The sequence below is a fragment of the Homo sapiens genome, chromosome 16 (assembly GCF_000001405.40).
Source record: "Homo sapiens chromosome 16, GRCh38.p14 Primary Assembly".
In the NCBI taxonomy this organism is placed as follows: domain Eukaryota; kingdom Metazoa; phylum Chordata; class Mammalia; order Primates; family Hominidae; genus Homo; species Homo sapiens.
In genome coordinates, this window is record NC_000016.10 from 71625868 (window position 1) to 71644650 (window position 18783).

Consider the following 18783-nt stretch of genomic DNA (forward strand, 5'->3'; position numbering starts at 1 on the left):
AATCCAAGTTGCAGTGTAAGTTGAGCCAGGGGAGGTGGCCACAGTTGGCTCCCTTAGGCCGCCCACCTCGTGGGGTCACCAAGGGGTTACTTCGGGGCAGAAAGGTGCGGCTGTGGGTCGCCCCGCCCGGGTTTCCAGCAGCAGCACCCCAGCCCCCACCCAGCACACAGGCACCCCTCCCGCCCGGGCCCCAGACGCGCTCAGGCCGCCCCCTGAGGGCGCCCGTTCTCAGGTGAGCTCCCGGACTAGCGCGCATGCGCACAGGTGAGTGCCCGCCCCGCCCCCGGGCTTGGCCACCTGCCCAAGAAACTTGTTGGTTGTTGCCCTCAGGTCGCTCCCGGGCGGGGACACGGAACCCGGCCATGGAAGATCCGTCGGGGGCTCGCGAGCCCCGGGCCCGGCCGAGAGAGCGGGACCCGGGACGGCGCCCCCACCCAGACCAAGGCCGCACCCACGATCGACCGCGGGACCGACCCGGGGACCCGCGCAGGAAGCGAAGCAGCGACGGGAACCGGCGAAGGGACGGGGACCGGGACCCGGAGAGAGACCAGGAGAGGGACGGGAACCGCGACCGGAACCGGGACCGGGAGAGGGAGAGAGAGAGGGAAAGAGACCCGGACCGAGGCCCCCGCCGGGACACACACAGGGACGCGGGCCCTCGCGCAGGTGAACACGGAGTTTGGGAAAAACCGCGCCAAAGCCGGACGCGGGACGGAGCCCGGGGACTGACCTGGGACGCAGCCGCGCCTCCTGGGCCCGCGCCCTGGGAAGCCCCGGAGCCGCCGCAGCCGCAGAGGAAGGGAGACCCCGGGCGCCGCAGACCCGAAAGGTGAGAGGGGCCGGGGCGCTGCGACCTCCGCGCCGGGGACACCTGTGGCCCAGGCCGGCCCGCGAGGCCCTGGCGTCCCCGGGTTCTCGTCCTAGGAGCCCGTTTAAATGAACAAATGCCGTTTCTCCCTTCTGCGCTCTCAGAGGCGACCTGGCAGGGAAGGAAAACTTTAGGGTTCCCCCTTCTCGTGGCCTGAACCCAACTAACAAAGCAAAAACCACCCCTGTGAGCAGTGGCTGGGCTGGAGGACCTGGAGAAGAGAAAGAGAGGCCCCGGGACCCGAGAGGGAGGGGTGGGAGGAGACCAGGCGGGTGGGGTTCACCCCAGGCTCCTCCCCGGCCCGGCCCGCATGGTCACAGGACTGCGCCTTGGGGTTCAGACCCTTGTCCCGTGTTCCAGAGCCAGCCCTTCCCGACTCCAAAGTCCCCTTCCTTGTGGCCGGGCCGCCCACTTGGGAAGCCCGATGAAGAGTTAATAGTTTAATGTGTTACCCCTCCCAGGAATAGGTGCCTTCAGAAACAGGTGGGCCGGCGCGGTGGCTCATGCCTGTAATCCCAACACTTTGGGAGGCCGAGGCGGGCGGATCACCTGAGGCCAGGAGTTCGAGACCAGCCTGGCCAACATGGTGAAACCCCGTCTTTACTAAAAATACAAAAACTTAGCCAGGCGTGATGGCAGATGCCTGTAATCCCAGCTACTTGGGAGGCTGAGGAGGGAGAATCGCTTGAACCCGGGAGGCGGAGGTTGCAGTGAGCCGAGATCGCACCACTGCACTCCAGCCTGGGCGACAAAGCGAGACTCCGTCTCAAAAAAAAAAAAAAAAGTCAGATGGGAGACGCTACATTTTTAACCAAAGAACAAAGTCTACGTAAAATTCTCCCACTGAAGGGTACAGGTTTGTTTTCCCTTTTGCCAGTGAGGTCTCTCTAGGCAGCGTCATTCGAATCCCACGGCTGCTTGAGACCGCACCCTCCTAATGAAAAAACTTTGCCATCTCTGCCTTGCACAGAATTCCCATAGGCCCCTTGTAAGGAGAAAGGTTCAGGGTGTACTGGAAGACTCTGTGAGCTAGGGGAGGGTGGGGGGGGAAGGGAAGACAAGAGGGGACCTGGTCCCCACACCGCCTCCTAGGGACCTGGTGTTTTTTCCATCCATTGAATACCCAGATAATGTGCCCCACACGGTGAACTGTGAGCAGATGGGATATCTCCCCTGCCAGCTCCAACAGGAGACAGGTCCGAGGTGACGACTGCTTCTGGTTTTTGACACCTGGCCTCTCCTCTAGGGAGGAGTCAGGCTCCCCTCTCCCAGGGACTTGGAGGCTGAGTCCAGTCTGTCTCCCTGCTATGTCCACACAGCGGGAGAGCTCCTATCCTGAGTTTATGTTACATTATCTAAAACTAACTAGCATAACAAAGGGTGCGCCCAGATACAGTCAAAGCTTCGCCCAGGGAAACAGCTGTTGTTTCCCTGACTAAAGCCCATTGCACTTGCAACTGCAGGACCTGGGAGAATTCAGAGCTGCATTTTTAGGTTTCTTTAAAAACCACTGTCCGAGCCGGACGCGGTGGCTCACACCTGTAATCCCAGAACTTTGGGAGGCCGAAGCGGGCAGATCATTGGAGGTAAGGAGTTCGAGACCAGCCTGGCCAACACTGCGAAACCCCATCTCTACTAAACATACAAAAAAATTAGCAGAGCGCGGTGGCGCACGCCTGTAATCTCAGCTACTCGGGAGGCTGAGGTGGGAGGACTGCTTGAACCTGGGAGGCGGAGGTTGCAGTGAGCTGAGATCTCGACACTGCACTCCAGCCTGGGTGACAGAGTGAGACTCCATCTCAAAACAAAAAAAAAAAAAGGAAGACTGAGGAGGAAGAGGAAAGGTGTCCCAAGGAGAAGAATAGCTTCTGTAGTAACCCAGAGGCATGGAAAAGCAGTCATCTTTTGAGGGGAAGGGGGTAGTTCAGTATGGCTGGGTCTGCGAGCATGAGGTTGTGAGTGTAGAGAGATGAACAGGGGCCTCCTGTGCATGCTAAAAGTTTGAAAAATTTCAAACCTAAGAGAGACATGATGTTCTAGAAAGACTGTGGGAGCCTGGCAAGTAGAATGCAGCCCCCTGTTGAATCTTGGACAAAGCCCAGGATGTGCTGCATAAAGCAAGGAGAGAAGGGACAGAAAATGCTAGGGCTGCCAGAGGAGGAAATGATGTGATGATGTCAAAATCCGTGGTCTGCAGCTCCCATGCTCCTGGAGAGTTATTGCTGACTCAACACTTTCCAAAGTAACAAAGGGAGGAAGAGAATGCCTGCCTGGGCATCAGAGTCATGTGAATGCAAACTGGTTTTGAAGAGGCCTGGTGCATGCTGAACTGAGAACTTGCACTCACAGGAAGGCAGCTCGCAGCTACCTGGTGAGACAGCTCCCAGGGGCAGACAAACCATCAGCGGTACCAATCACAGCATCTGTCACGTGGTTAGTGGAGCTGGGCCAAGTATTTGGATGTCCCGTGGGGCCACTAAACCAGAGAATTCTCTGGAGTTTAAAATACCGGGACAAATTCTATTTCTGTTCTGCTAATATTTGGGCCCAGCACGAGGAGTCAAGAGTTCTAATCCTGAACGCTATTGAATGAGACACCCCCTAATGACCATGTATGCTTTTTGGTTATAGTGAACCCCCTTCGGAGAGATATCTGCCCTCGACCCCCAGGCCTGGACGAGAGGAGGTGGAATATTACCAGTCAGAGGCGGAAGGACTCCTGGAATGCCACAAATGCAAATACTTGTGCACTGGGAGAGGTGAGCCGTTTTGCAGGCTGTTTGATCATTTACTGTCACTGGTGGTTCTGGAAGGGATGGTCTGAGCTGGTGAAGCAAAAATTTAAGCAGATTCCCTTGTGGGTTCCTAGCATTTTCATTTCTGTACTTGTGAGGTTCTTGTTTTCTTAAAAAAAAAAAAAAAAAAAAAGGAGGAACGTCTCAAAAGTGCTGCTAGATTTCCTGTGCTTCTCCTTAAACATGCCCTGGGTTTGCAAAGGCAAGCAGCCATGTTTGCAGCTTTCAGACTCCAGGTGGAAGTGCAGAGGCCTGTAGGTGGAACTGGCTATGAGCTGCCAGCTGTCAGAGGAGGGATCTTCTGGCGAGGCAGCTGAATTAACAGAGAGGGAAAGTCACCTGGCGTGGGCAGCCAAGTTGCAGCACCTGTTCTCCTTGAAGATCTGACGCCCAACATTTGATCAATGGCTTTTAAACTTTATTGACTGAGGCCAGGCACAGTGGCTCATGCCTGTAATCTCAGCACTTTGGAAGGCCCAGGAGGGAGGATCACTTGAGCCCAGGAGTTTGAGACCAACTTGGGCAACATAGCAATACCCCATCTCTAGTTTAAAAAAAAAAAAAAAAGGGAAAAAGGCTGGCGTAGTGGCTTACGCCTGTAATCCCAGCACTCTGGGAGGTCAAGGTGGGTGGATCACTTGAGGTCAGGGGTTCGAGACCAGCCTGGCCAACGTGGTGAGGAGGAGAATTGCTTGAACCTGGGAGGAGGAGGTTGCAGTGAGCAGAGATCACGTCACTGCACTCCAGCCTGGGTGACAGAGTAAGACTCCATCTCAAAAATATTAAAAATTTAAAAAATTTTTAAAATAATAAGGCCAGGCACGATGGCTCACGCCTGTAATCCCAGCACTTTGGGAGGCCAAGGTGGGTGGATCACCTGAGGTCGGGAGTTCAAGACCAGCCTGACTAACATGGAGAAACCCTGTCTCTACTAAAAATATAAAATTAGCCGGGGTGGTGGCTCATGCCTGTAATCCCAGCTACTTAGGAGGCTAAGGCAGGAGAATCGCTTGAACCCGGGAGGCGGAGGTTGCAGTGAGCCAAGATTTCGCCATTGCACTCTAGCCTGGGCAACAAGAGCGAAACTACGTCTTAAAAAAAAAAACAAAAATAATAAAATATATGTATATATATATATACACACACATAATATATTCACAAGGTTGTTACGTATATACATTTTTTACATTAAGACCGAGTTCACACACACACAGAAACAAAAATGTTGTGAAACCATACTGACCCTATTATATACCAAATATTCTGATATTTTCTATCCCGTTCATTAAGAACAAAATCATTTTTTAAAAACCATAGTTATTTAGGACCCACAGTCTGAAAAACACTTCCAGCCTATCATGTATCCACCCCAAATGTGGCGTCCCCAGGTTCCCATTCTAGCGGTCTTGGCCTTGCCAGCAATGAAGAAAATCTGGTTTGTCTGGGTGAGAGCTTATAGTTCACATGATTTGGTGAGAAATAGTTCTTGGTTTACTATGACTAAGGGAGAAAACGTTCCAGCCTAAGGGAGAGAACTTATGGAGCTCATACCTGAAAATGTAATCTCAGGATAATTCCAAAGATGCATATGATTATAGGATTATAGGAACTTTGAGGAAAGTGCTCTAGGCAATGCAGGTACAAGGATCATTACTCTAGTTGCAGATATTGGCACAACCTCACAGCCTGTAATTCTGTCAGCAGCTCCTGAGCTTCAGAGAAGTACAGTAAGATATCCAGAGGACTGTGTTCTTAATGAGAGAAAAAAACAAAAGTTATGAAGATACAAATAAAGTTCAGGAAAAAATATAATATTCACAGTGATTTTTTTAAATTGGTTGTATTACAGGCAATTGTTACATTGCATGTTTTCTTAACTCTACATTTTCTTTTTTTGTTGTTGTTATAAGTAAGTATAACTGTCTTTTTTTTTTTGAGAGTCTTGCTCTGTAGCCCAGGCTGGAGTGCAGTGGCATGATCTCGGCTCACTGCAACCTCTGCCTCCCGGGTGCCAGTTGAAGCAATTCTCCTGCCTCAGCCTCCCGAGTGGCTGGGAGGTAGCGCGTGCCACCATGCCCAGCTAATTGTTGTATTTTTAGTAGAGACAGGGTTTTACCATGTTGGCCAGGCCGGTCTTGAACTCCTGACCTCGTGATCTGCCCGCCTTGGCCTCCCAAAGTGCTAGGATTACAGGCATGAGCCACCACGCCTGGCCATATAACTTTCATAAATAAAATGGTGACAGAGTGAGACCCTGTCTGTAAAAAAAAGAAAGAAAACAATAATGTTGTTTGCATTCTGGGGGAAAATTATACAGTGTAAAGATCGCACTTGAGAGAGCATCATCATTTCATTTAGACAATGTGTAGCTGTGGTTTCATGAATAGACCAACTGGAACCAGGCATTAAATCTGGTTATCAAACATCAGGCAGGATGTTGACAGGCCGACGTTGGCAGCATGTACAATTTCCAGCTCAGCAGCACCCAGCTTATATGATGTTGAGCAAAAGAAACCACACACACAAAAGGACATAACCGTATTATTCCATTAACATGATATTCTAGAAAAGGCAGAACTAGTTTCTAACCTTCTTTCCTTTCATACAACACAAGGCAGAACTAGTTTCTAATGAGAGAGGGCTGATCAGTGGTTTGCTGACAAGGAAAGTGAGGGATTGACTGCAAAGCGTCACTAAGGAAATTTCTAGGCTAATGAGAATGTTCTGTGTCTTGATTATGGTTACATGGTACATAAATTTGTCAAAACGCATCAAGCTGTAAGCTTAATGTGGGTCATTTTGTTGCATATAAGTTATATTTCACTAACGTTGATTTTAAGGAAAGCAGCCAGTTTTCTTTGTCCAAGATAAAGAAGCCAAGGGACCGGGAAGAATCCAGCTCTGGGAAAATATCACAGCCCAGATACACTCTTTAGGGAACTAAATAAAACAGCATTAAACTTTAAGACATACTTATAAGTTAAAGTCTAAGAACAATAAAACAACTTTTTAATTCAGTAAGCATTAAGGGTTTAATTAACTTAATTTTTCCTATTTCTTTTTTTTTTTATTTTTTATTTATTTATTTATCTTTTTTTTGAGGCAGAGCCTCACTCTGTCACCCAGGCTGGGGTACAGTGGTGCAATCTCAGCTCACTGCAAACTCCGCCTCCTGGGTTCAAGCGATTCTTCCACCTCAGCCTCCTGAGGAGCTGAGATTACAGGCATGCACCACCACACCTGGCTAATTTTTGTATTTTTAGTAGAGACAGGGTTTCACCATGTTGGCCAGGCTGGTCTAGAACTCGTGACCGCAGGTGATCTGCCTGCCTCGGCCTCCCAAAATGCTGGGATTACAGGCGTGAGCCACCGCGCCTGGCCAATTTTTCTTATTTCTAATACACGAACCACAGTTAACATTTTGATGTATAACTTCCACGCTTTTTTTCTGAATTATTATATTGTTTAAGCTCTGTGATTTTCTTCAAACTTGGAGAACTCTCCCCTTACAAATTGTATTCACCACAGAACATATATAAAGAGGAGATAACGACCAGTGCAGTGGCTCACGCCTGTAATCCCAGCACTTTGGGAGGCCAAGGCAGGAGGATCGCCTGAAGCAAGGAATTTGAGACCAGCCTAGGCAACACAGCAAGACCTTTATCACGAGAAAATACAAAAATTAGCCAGGCCCAGGTTCATGCATTTGTAGTCCCAGCTATGTGGGAGGCTGAGGCAGGATGATTGCTTGAGCCTGGGAGGTCAAGGCTATAGTGAGCTGTGATTGTGCCACTGTACTCCAGCCTAGGTGACAGAGACCTTGTCTCAAAAAAGAAGAGACAACTTGTTTAGTTTTTTGTGTTGTTGTTTGTGTTTGCTTTTGTTTTTTGAGACGGAGTGTCGCCCAGGCTAGAATGCAGTGGCGCGATCTCAGTTCACTGTAACCTCCACCTCTCGGGTTCAAGTGATTCTCCTACCTCAGCCTCCCAAGTAGCTGGGACTACAGGTGCTTACCACCATGCCTGGCTAATTTTTGTATTTTTTAGTAAAGACAGGGTACCACCATGTTGGCCAGGCTGGTCTCAAACTCCTGACCTCAAATGATCCACCTGCCTTGGCCTCCCAAAGTGCTGGGATTACAGGCGTGAGCCACCATACCCAGTCTTTTTTTTTTTTTTTTTTTTAAATTAGAGATGGGGTATCACTATGTTGCCCAGGTTAGTCTCAAACTCCTGGGCTCAAGCAGCCCTCCCACCTTGGCTTCCCAATGTGCTGGGATTACAGGCGTGAGCCACCTCGCCCGGCCTTGTTTCATCTTTCTGGTGGTGGGAGGTGGAATGTTCTTGCCCTTCCATCCAGGATGGCTTTGTTCCTGCTCACTGGCCTGATCTCTCCCATCATCCTCCTGCCGCTCTCTCAGGGCACACCGCTTTGCTCTTTTGAGAGTCACCCCTCTGAGTCCATAGTATTTCTGGCACCATTTCTGGAGACCACAGTTCCCTACTGCCCCCTAGTTTTAATCGCGCTGCTTTGGCCTCGGGTCTTCCACAGGGCCAGAAGCCTTCAGGGGTCTGAGCCCTGCGCGGAAGGTGGGCCTCAGGTGGAAGAGTCTCCTGGTGCCAAACAGCATCACTCAAAAATGGTAACACCCTTTTTTTGCAGCCTGCTGCCAAATGCTGGAGGTTCTCCTGAACTTGCTGATCCTGGCCTGCAGCTCTGTGTCTTACAGTTCCACAGGGGGCTACACGGGCATCACCAGCTTGGGGGGCATTTACTACTATCAGTTCGGAGGGGCTTACAGTGGCTTTGATGGTGCTGACGGGGAGAAGGCCCAGCAACTGGATGTCCAGTTCTACCAGCTAAAGCTGCCCATGGTCACTGTGGCAATGGCCTGTAGTGGAGCCCTCACAGCCCTCTGCTGCCTCTTCGTTGCCATGGGTGTCCTGCGGGTCCCGTGGCATTGTCCACTGTTGCTGGTGACCGAAGGCTTGTTGGACATGCTCATCGCGGGGGGGTACATCCCGGCCTTGTACTTCTACTTCCACTACCTCTCTGCTGCCTATGGCTCTCCTGTGTGTAAAGAGAGGCAGGCGCTGTACCAAAGCAAAGGCTACAGCGGTTTCGGCTGCAGTTTCCACGGAGCAGATATAGGAGCTGGAATCTTTGCTGCCCTGGGCATTGTGGTCTTTGCCCTGGGGGCTGTCCTGGCCATAAAGGGCTACCGAAAAGTTAGGAAGCTAAAAGAGAAGCCAGCAGAAATGTTTGAATTTTAAGGGTTTCTAAAACGCTCTGACAGATGCAAGTGGTGGTGGAAGGTAGTCTGAGCCACTGCCTTTCCCAAGAATCCCTTGTTGTGGAAGTTTCCAGTGCTGGAAAAGCAGCGAGCCAGCGTTGGTGTGGTGGGCGGAGCTCCCAGTCGCATGGAGCGGTGTTCATGGATGCAACAGACCCTGGCTTCTGGAGTCCTCTGTGAGTGAGGGACCAATCAAAATTATTTTTCAAAAAGCAAAAAAATGGCCGGCCTCGGCGGCTCACACCTGTAACCCCAGCACTTTGGGAGGCTGAGGTGGGTGGATCACTTGAGGTCAGGAGCTCGAGACCAGCTTGGCCAACATGGTGAGCCCCCGTCTCTACTAAAATACAAAAAAATTAGCCAGGCGTGGTGGCGGGCGCCTGTAATCCCAGCTACTTGGGAGGCTGAGGCAGGAGAATCGCTTGAATCTGGGAGGCGGAGATTGCAGTGAGCCGAGATCCCGCCACTGCACTCCAGCCCAGGTGACAGAGCGAGACTCCATCTCAAAAAAAAAAAAAAGCAAAAAAACTGGACCCCAAGAGCCACAAGGAAAAAGCATGTACTACAACAGAGTGCACCTCTTCATTCAGTAAAGGGAGGTCACCAAGAGAATTTGATGAACCTTACCTTCAAAGTTCCTGGGCACAGTGGCTCACACCTGTAATCCCAGAGCTTTGGGAGGCTGAGGTAGGAGGATTGCTTGAACCCAGGAGTTCAAGTTTGCAGTGCGCTATGATTGTCCCACTACACTCTAGCCTGAGCAACAGACCAAGACCGTATTGCCAAAATACCAAAAAAAAAAAAAGTTCATGGAGAGCCACATAGACATGAGACCACACTTCAGCCTGAATTTTTCTAAAACACAGTTGTCTCAAGCAGATTACTCCACACGTTTTTCCACACTGAACTCTCCAGTCCTTCCACTTCCTTAATTCTGCAAATGGAGGGGGTGGGGACTCTTGGGAAACTACTCCTGTAAAATTGAAGTTGGAGGTAGGCGTGGGCTGAGGAAAGAGGAATCAGATTAATTCTCTGGGTTGCAAAGAGGCTATTCTGCAAGCCCCTTACAGTGGCCCTGAAAGCTCAATAAGTGTTTTGTACCTCTTGTAAATGTGCCATTGTGTGAAGCATTAAACCCAACATCTAGAATTCAGGATTCATCCAGAATAAAAGGATGTAAAATCTTTCCCAACAGAAGAGTGTTACTTTTGGTCAGACAACTTCATGGGTTCTTACTGCACATTAAATTATGACTTATGGAACATTGCAATATATTCTCGGTCCTTAAGTTATGACTTATGGAACATTACAATATATTCTCGGTCCAAGTGAGTAAGTTCTTTGCTTTATGTGAATCCAATAAAAAATCCAAAGAATTTTAATTTGGAGTTGATGTCCTCTTTACAATACATTTATAATATTCTCTTAAATACAGACAATTTTTCACATTTAAAAGGTGAGTTCCATTTGAGTTTAGAAAAGGAAATATATATATACATGCTTGTATATGATTGGAAAATTTCTTGAAGAATAACATCAGAAAGTATTAAGTTTTGCTTTTGAAGAGAAGGGGACTTTTCATTTATACATGGCTTGACTGCACATGTATTAATTTTAGAAAAATAAAAAGTAAAAAAGTTGACTTGCTCTCCTCAGTTTTTTTCAGGACCACATTTAAAGTTCAAAGGCAGGTATGGATATATAGTTAAGCAGATTATTAAATGATCAGCCACAAAAACAGCCTCACCCAGAAAGACTTTTTTTATTTTTTTATTTCTTATTTTTGAGACAGGATCTGGCTCTGTCACCCAGGCTGGAGTGCAGTGGTGGGATCTCAGCTTACTGCAACCTCTGCCTCCCAGGCTTAAGCTGTCCTCCCACCTTAGCCTCCCGAGTCACTGGAACTACAGGCCCGTGCCACTGTGCCTGGCTAATTTGTTTATTTTTAGTAGAGATGGGGTTTCACCATGTTGCCCAGGCTCATCTCGAACTCCTGGGCTCAAGTGATCCACCCACCTCAGCCTCCCAAAGTGCTGGGATTATAGGCGTGAGCCACCACGCCAGACCCAGAAAGACGTTATTTACAACAAAGATCTCATGTCGTTTCAGGATCTCTGCTTCCCTCTACCAAACCCTCTGCTGTCTTTCCGGAGACGTGTCCCATCCCACCATAGAGATAAACTGCTAGCTCTGCTCGCCACCCTTTTCCCCTTCCCCTGCCCCATGTGTCTTTCTGCACTAAAAGCATGCTTGGAAATACTTGAGCCTGCCTTGATATTGATAGCTAAGCCAGGCCAACCCTGGCTGGAACCTGGGATAATATTCCCTGGCCATATTCCTTCAACAGTCCGAATATCATTGGACCCAGCAGAAGACCATTATTCCTGTCAGTTGGCGCAGTCAACAGGTGATTGACAAGATCTAGATTTATTCCATTGTAGCCTAACAGATAGATGCTGCCTGGGTTTTGAATCCGTCCCAGAGGAATTTCAGTATTTTCAGTATAGTATTTCTGTTTTCCTTCAGGGGGCGAAATATTAACGTCCATGAAGAAGGAAAACCAAGGGAGAGAAAGGTGTAGGGTCCACTAACCCCCATGAATTAAAATGATGTCTGGGTCAATTCACTTGCTCTGCTGTAGGGAGAGTGTAAACCAGCAGCTTACTGTGCCGGAGTGATGAGTGGGCAGTTTTAGTCTGACGTTATTTTCAGTTTTAAATTAGAGGAATGTAACTTCTCAACTATCAGAGCCCTCAACTACTATGTCCCTGTGGACCGCTAGGAATTTGTGTGGGCCCAGCAGGAGATAGGATTAGCAAGCTGAGTAGCTGTTGCCTAAGTACTTTAGAGTCTTTCACTGCCCTGATTATAAACATCATGGTACCCCCTAGTGTGTTAGAGGGTTGTCCTGATTTCTGGGAAACCACACTCTTCTTAAATTTATCCCATTCTTTATTATGTTTCTCACCAATCCCCTTCCATTTTGGAAACATTACTGAGTAGCGTCACTATCCATTTGTACATTATTTTATTTTTAGAGTATTTTCACATACTTGCTTTTTTGTTGTTGTTGTTAACTTCCCACAGTATCACACGGTTGCTTTCATTTGAGCCTCCCCACATCCCTGTGGGTGAAGATTGGCAGACTTAGCTTCATTTGTCATATTGTCTGAGGCTTAGAAGGACTGAATGGCTTGGCCAAGATGACAAGGCAGTAAAAAGCGGGGACTTGAACCTGGTGGTCCTGCTCTCGGTTCATTTGTATTTCTCTTCATGCTCATCCCTGAACACCACGGGAATGGCAGGAGACCCTCTCCCAGAAGGACACCTAAGAAGGATTTGGGGCCTCTGTCAGTAACAAATAAAAGCTGACCTCGGACAAGAAGATCTTCAGTCTGTTGGCCTGTTGGCTTCCTCTGCCTCGTGCCATTTGTGGGTTCCTTTCAGTCCAAATATCTATCAGTAAGGTCCTGGTTGAATAGACAAATCCATCCATACAATGAAGTCGAAGGCCACTTAACAAAATGTGGCTCCTCTTGTAGGAACTGATCTGAAAACATCTGGAAGATACAGTAAATGAAAAAATCAAGATGCAGAACAGTGTACATGGTACACTTACTTTTGTGGAAAAATGCAGGGAAGGGAATGAAATGCAGATTTAAATGTGCTTTTTATTTGCATAAAGGAACACTGGACAATTATATTGAAACCAATGAAAGCGGTTGGCAACATTGAAGAGACGGTATGAGTGAAATTTCTCAGTTTATATCTTATGTCATTTCAATTTTTTAGAAACTTTTCGTTTTGAAATATAGATTTGCAAGAAGTCACAAAAACAGTGCAGAGTACTCCTGTGTATCCTTAACCCAGTTTTCTCCAATGATAATATACTGCATAACTAGTACAATATCAAGACCAGGAAAGTCACAATCTACAGAGCTCATTTAGGTTTCCCCCTTTTACCTGCACACATATGTATGTGTTTGTAGTTCTAAGCCGTTTTATCTCATGTGTAGATTTGTGTGAGCAGCACCATGATGCAATCCAGAACTGTTCCCTCACCCTGGACATCCCTGTGCTAAGTCTTCATAGTCACATCCATCTTCTTCCTTCCTCCCCCATCCCTACTCATTCCTGTCCCCTGTTGATCACCAATCTGGGCTTCTCTATAATTTTGTCCTTTTGAGACTGTTACATACATGAAATCACACGGTATGTAACTTTTTCAGACTGGTTCTTTTTTTTTTTTTTTTTTTTTTTTTTTTGAGACAGAGTTTCACTCTTGTCGCCCAGGCTAGAATACAATGGCGCAATCTCGGCTCATTGCAACCTCTGCCTTCCGGGTTCAAGTAATTCTCATGCCTCAGCCTTCCAAGTGGGTGGGATTACAGGCGCCTGCCACCACACCTGGCTAATTTTGTATTTTTAGTAGAGCTGGGGTTTCACCACGTTGTCCAGGCTGGTCATGAACTCCTGACCTCAGGTGATCTGCCCGCCTCGGCCTCCCAAAGTGCTGGGATTACAGGCATGAGCCATTGCGCCCAGCCAAGACTGGTTCTTTTTCACTCATCATAATTCCCTTGAGATTCATTCAAGTCATTGCATGTATCAGGATTTCATTCCTTTTTTTTTTTTTTTTTTGAGATGGAGTCTCGCTTTGTCACCCAGACTGGAGTGCAGTGGCATGATCTCGGCTCACTGAAACCTCTGCCTCCTGGGTTCAAGCAATTCTCCTGCCTCAGCCTCCAGAGTAGCTGGAACTACAGGCACGTGCTGCCACACCCGGCTAATTTTTGTATTTTTAGTAGAGATGGGGTTTCACCATGTTGGTCAGGCTGGTCTCCAACTCCTGACCTCAAGTGATCTGCCCGCCTCAGCCTCCCAAAGTGCTGAGATTACAGGCGTGAGCCACTGCACCCAGCCTAGGAGTTCATCCCTTTTTATCGCTGAGTAGGGTAGTCCATGGTATGGGTGTACCCGTTTGTGTAACCAGAGTCACCCACTGAAGGACACTGGGGTTGTTTCCAATATTTGGCTATTATAAATAAAGCTACAATGAATATTTATGTCCACGTCTTTGTTTTCAGAGTGGTAATTTGATTTTTCAAACATAGATTGAAAACAAAACAAAAACAAAAAGCAAATTAAATATACTGATGTTGAGGCTGGGTGAGGTGGCTTACGCCTGTAATCTCAGGACTTTGGGAGGCCAAGGCAGGTGGATCACTTGAGGTCAGGAGTTTGAGACCAGCCTGGCCAACATGGTGAAACCCCGTCTCTACTAAAAATACAAAAATTAGCCAGGCAGGGTGGTGCGTGCCTGTAGTTCCAGCTACTCAGGAGGCTGAGGCAGGAGAATCGCTTGAAGCCAGGAGGTGGAGGTTGCAGTGAGCCAATCACACCATTGCACTCCAGCCTGGATGACAGAGTGACACCGTCTCAAAAAAAAAAAAAAAAGTTGACATTGAATCAACCACGTCCTTAAAATCAGGTGGCCTGTGGTATGTCTCTGGCTTGGCCTGGGTGAGTAATGTCAGTGTTAAAGCCCGAATCTCTCTTCTCCTAGGTGTGGTGCAGATAGTGGAGGTGGTCTTGAATGGGATGGTTCTCATATGCATCGTGGCCTCCTACTTTGTCCTTGCCGGATTCAGTGCCAGCTTTTCCAGCGGCGGTGGCTTTGGGAACAACTACTACTCACCGTTCGAGGGCACTGAGCTAGAGCAGGTTCGGCAGCTGGACCAGCAGTACACGATCCTCCGCTCGCCCCTGATATACGGTGGCGTGGCTGTTTCTCTGGGTCTGGGGGTCCTCACCATGGGTGTTTTACTCCAAGGAGCCAAGAGTCGAACAATGTTGTCAGGGAAGTGGCTCCTCACGGAGGCCGCCTTCAGCCTCCTAGCGGCAGTGGGCTACTGCACAGGCATTGGTGTTTACCTCCACGTGGCTCTGCAGATCAATAGCACCGACACTTGCAAAACAAGAGAGAGGCTCTATGCCCGCAAGGGTCTCACCTGGATGGACTGCCAGCTGGCAGGCACCGACGGAGCAGCAGCCACCTTTGCTTGTCTTCTCGTGATCATGTACGGCGCCAGCGTGGTGCTGGCCCTGCGTAGCTACCGAGAACAGAAGCGCTACAAAGGCAGCCGAGAACAGCCCGGAAGTTACAGTGATGCACCGGAATATCTGTGGTCTGGAACTCTTTGAGATCTTCCGGAACCTAAATGTGAACGCACATTGTTTCTCTCAAAAAGACAGGTCTTTTAAAACTCCGCATTAGACAACTATGGTTTTCACACACTTGACTTTATAAATGCTCTCTTTGGACTGAGGCAAAGTTAAAGAATTGAGGACGGGCATGGTGGCTCATGCCTGTAATCCCAGCACTTTGGGAGGCTGAGGTGGGCGGATCGCTTGAGGTCAGCAGATTGAGTCCAGCCTGGCTCACATAGCGAAACCCTGTCTCTACTAAAAATACAAAAAATCGCCGGGCATGGTGGCTCACGCCTGTAATCCCAGCACTTTAGGAGGCCAAGGCAGGCAGATCACCTGAGGTCAGGTGTTTGAAACCAGTCTGGCAAACATGGTGAAACCCCATCTCTACTAAAAATACAAAAATTAGCTGGGCGTGGTGGCAGGCACCTGTAATTCCAGCTACTCTGGAGGCTGAGGCAGGAGAATCTCTTAAACCCGGGAGGCAGAGGTTGCAGTGAGCCAAGACCATTGCACTCCAGCCTGGGCAACAAGAGCGAGACTCCGTCTCAAAAAAATACAAAAAATCATCTGGGCTTGGTGGTGAACGCCTGTAATCCCAGTTACTCAGGAGGCTAAACCACAAGAATCACTTGAACCTGGGAGGCAGAGGTTGCAGTGAGCAAACTCCACTCCACGTCACTGCACTCCAGCCTGGGTAACAGAGCGAGGCTCTGTCTCAAAAACAACAACTACAACAAAAAAGATAGGACAGTAGATTTTATTAGACCCTGAAGCATACTGGAGGCTTTTTCATTTCTGCATTCCCTGACAGTGCTCCATAGAGTAGGTCTTCAAAGGTAGATAGTAATCTCATTACCCTGGACTGTTCTCATAATGTAACAGATCACTAACACTGAATCTTAAAAATAAAGTTCTTTTAGTAATTTTAATCTTACGTGTTTTATACCTATTCTTATACTTTACAGCTTGCCCCAAATATATTAGTTCAAATCAGATGCAACTAGAAATATACATTCTCGTTATGGTCTTTTTGCTAATTGTCCTCTTGCTTTTTAGTAGTGAATTCTTATGGAACCTGTTCAGGACAAAGGATCGAAGCTAAGCCTCCTACCTAAGCGGAAAAGATCTAGATTATACTTTTATAAAAATAAAGCTTGGAAAATAATCAACTGGAGATCTACATCGCTAGGTTAAAAGTTGTGGTGTCTTGGCCGGGCACGGTGGCTCACACATGTAATCCCAGCACTTTGGGAGGCCAAGGCAGGTGGATCACCAGGTCAAGAGTTCAAGACCAGCCTGGCCAAAATGGTGAAACCCTGTCTCTACAAAAAATACAAAAAAAATTAGCCGGCCTGGTGGCAGGCACCTGTAATCCCAGCTGCGTGGGAGGCTGAGGCAGAGAACTGCTTGAACCGGGGAGGCAGAGGTTGCAATGGGCTGAGATCGCGCCACTGCACTCCAGCCTGGGTGACAGAGTGAGACTCCGTCTCAAAAAAAAAAAAAAAGTTGTGGTGCCTCAGAAAAGTGTCTCCACTCCATCACCCTTAGCCCAAGGCAGTGGCTAGAGTCCCACACAATTTTCACTCAGTGGTAGATGAGAAGTATAACTGCAGCCAGAATCAAGCGACCCACTCTCCACCTACCCTCCAGAGAAATACCACCAACCCCAGCCACTATTCTCACCTAGCATGTATTCCCCGAAATAGGTCCTTATTAGATCCTTGCCCACGTCTGGGTCCTTTGGTTGATAAAATGGAGACTTTGGCCTATCTGACCCCAACCTTGTGCCCAGGCCCAGCGCCAGTACTGCTCCGGAGAGGCAGCTCCTCTCAAGGGAATGGAGCCATCACTGTAACAACACTCCCACATCTTACGGCTTTATAACATTCACGATGCTTTAGCAAGTCTTCTCTTACTACCACTTGTCAGTCAGACAGGCCAACGTGTATTGTTCACACTTTACCGATAAGGAGACAAGCTTCAAGGTTAGGTGGTTTATGAAAGAGTTAATGCCCACTGTGTGCCAGGTATGTACAGTACTGTGATAAAGAAGACCTTTGATAAAAGATATTAGTATTAACATTTAATGAGAAAAACAGCCTTAGAGAGGTTAAGTAACTGCCTGAAGTCACAAAACTTTTAAGGAGCAGAGGCAAAACTCAGCCCCACTGAATCACACACTGGAATGTGTTCTAACATACTAACATACTCTTGTGGCCTTTGGTGTACCGGGGAATTTATATAGCATGACATTGATTCATTTCTGCCATGCTGGCCTAGGGAGGTGTGTGTCTCGTGGAACTGAGGTATAAAAGCATGTTGAAGGTGCTCAATAAATGGTTGTTGAACCATTTCTGGCCAGGTGTGGTGGCTCATGCCTGTAATCCCAGCACTTTGGGAGGCCGAGGCAGGTGGATCACCTGAGGTCAGGAGTTTTGAGACCAGCCTGGCCAACATGGTGAAACCCCGTCTCTACTAAAAATACAAAAATTAGCCAGGCATGGTGGCGCATGCCTATAATCCCACCTACTTGGGAGGCTGAGGCAGGAGAATCGCTTGAACCTGCGAGGCAGGGGTTGCAGTGAGCTGGGATCGCACCATTGCACTCCAGCCTGGACGACAGAGCGAGATTCCGTCTCAAAAAAATAAATAAATAAATGGCCGGGCGCGGTGGCTCATGCCACCTCAGCACTTTGGGAGGCCGAGGCGGGTGGACTGCCTGAGCTCAGGAGTTCAAGACCCACCTGGGTAACAGTGAAACCCTGTCTGCACTAAAAATACAAAAAATTTGCTAGGTGTGGCAGCGCTAGTCCCAGCTACTTGGGAGGCTGAGGCAGCAGAATAGCTTGAAGCCAGGAGGCAGAGGTTGCACTGAGCCAAGATCACACCACTGCACTTCCAGCCTGGGTGACAGAGCAAGATATCATCTTAAATAAATAAATAAATGTTCCTTCTGGTAGATGAAGAGGAAACTTCCAAAATGACTTTATCTTGACCTTTATTTAAAATGAGAGGTAGCAGGCAGTGTGCAGTGGCTCATGCCTGTAATCCCAGCACCTTGAGAAGCCAAGGCAGGCAGATCCCTTGAGCCCAGGGGTTCGAGACCAGCCTGGGCAACATGGCAAAACCATGTCTCTACAAAAAATACAAAAATTAGCTGGGTGTGATGATGCCTGCCTGTAGCCCTGGCTACTCAGGAGGCTAAGGTGGGAGGATCATGCTAGCATGGGAGGTAGAGGTTGCAATGAGCCAAAATCACACCACTGCACTCCAGCCTGGGCAACAGAGCAAGACCCTGTCTCAATCAATCAATCAATCAATGAGAGGTAGCTAATATTGCTTGAAAGCCCAGAGATTATGGGAGACACCCACAGGAGTGGGGGTAGGCCAGCGACAATTTAGAGGCTTAACTGGAGCTCATGAGCCAAGACTCTGAAGTTCCTTCTTACACCAAAGCTGTCAAGAAAAATGTGACCGGCTTTTCCATGGTGTCGTCAGCTGTCATTTAGACAGAACTGTGGATTGTTTACAGTTGAGTTTCTGCTAGTCAACTAATTTGCATGTCAATAAGGACGGTGTTTCCTGATTTTTTCCTTTTTCCTGGCGTTGTGATT

General features: G+C 48.2%; 1 protein-coding gene and 1 long non-coding RNA gene across 6 annotated transcripts, besides 2 other annotated features; one reads left to right on the forward strand and one right to left on the reverse strand.

Annotated features, from left to right (window-relative positions):
* The first annotated feature begins 316 nt into the window (after positions 1-316).
* On the forward strand, positions 317-16098 carry MARVELD3 (MARVEL domain containing 3). 4 transcript variants are annotated; one of them, NM_001017967.4, is made up of 3 exons: positions 317-829; positions 3500-3627; positions 14523-16098. In NM_001017967.4, exons 1-3 carry the CDS (start codon positions 363-365, stop codon positions 15158-15160), a joined length of 1233 nt encoding a protein of 410 aa, NP_001017967.2. In that variant the 5' UTR covers positions 317-362; the 3' UTR covers positions 15161-16098. The 4 variants fall into 4 exon arrangements, with proteins under 4 accessions (NP_001017967.2, NP_001258258.1, XP_011521751.1 ...); NM_001271329.2 differs by having other exon boundaries at positions 317-666; XM_011523449.4 differs by lacking the exon at positions 14523-16098 and adding an exon at positions 12044-14028.
* Positions 1138-1187: a silencer, noted in NCBI's record as "silent region_7682". NCBI's record gives its function as "represses an Ori minimal core promoter by ATAC-STARR-seq in GM12878 lymphoblastoid cells {active_cell/tissue: GM12878}" and the evidence as "EXISTENCE:reporter gene assay evidence [ECO:0000049][PMID:35858748]".
* Positions 11617-12168: an enhancer, noted in NCBI's record as "OCT4-NANOG-H3K27ac hESC enhancer chr16:71671387-71671938 (GRCh37/hg19 assembly coordinates)". NCBI's record gives its function as "activates a minimal SCP1, AML or CMV promoter by ChIP-STARR-seq in naive H9 embryonic stem cells {active_cell/tissue: H9 hESC(naive)}" and the evidence as "EXISTENCE:reporter gene assay evidence [ECO:0000049][PMID:30033119]".
* LOC124903711 (uncharacterized) lies at positions 11968-15053 on the reverse strand. Of its 2 annotated transcripts, none has more exons than XR_007065108.1 (2): positions 14968-15053; positions 11968-12516 (listed from the first exon to the last, which is right to left on the reverse strand). It is a non-coding gene; the product is annotated as an uncharacterized LOC124903711 (long non-coding RNA). The 2 variants fall into 2 exon arrangements; XR_007065107.1 differs by lacking the exon at positions 14968-15053 and adding an exon at positions 14655-14741.
* Positions 16099-18783: the final 2685 nt, after the last annotated feature.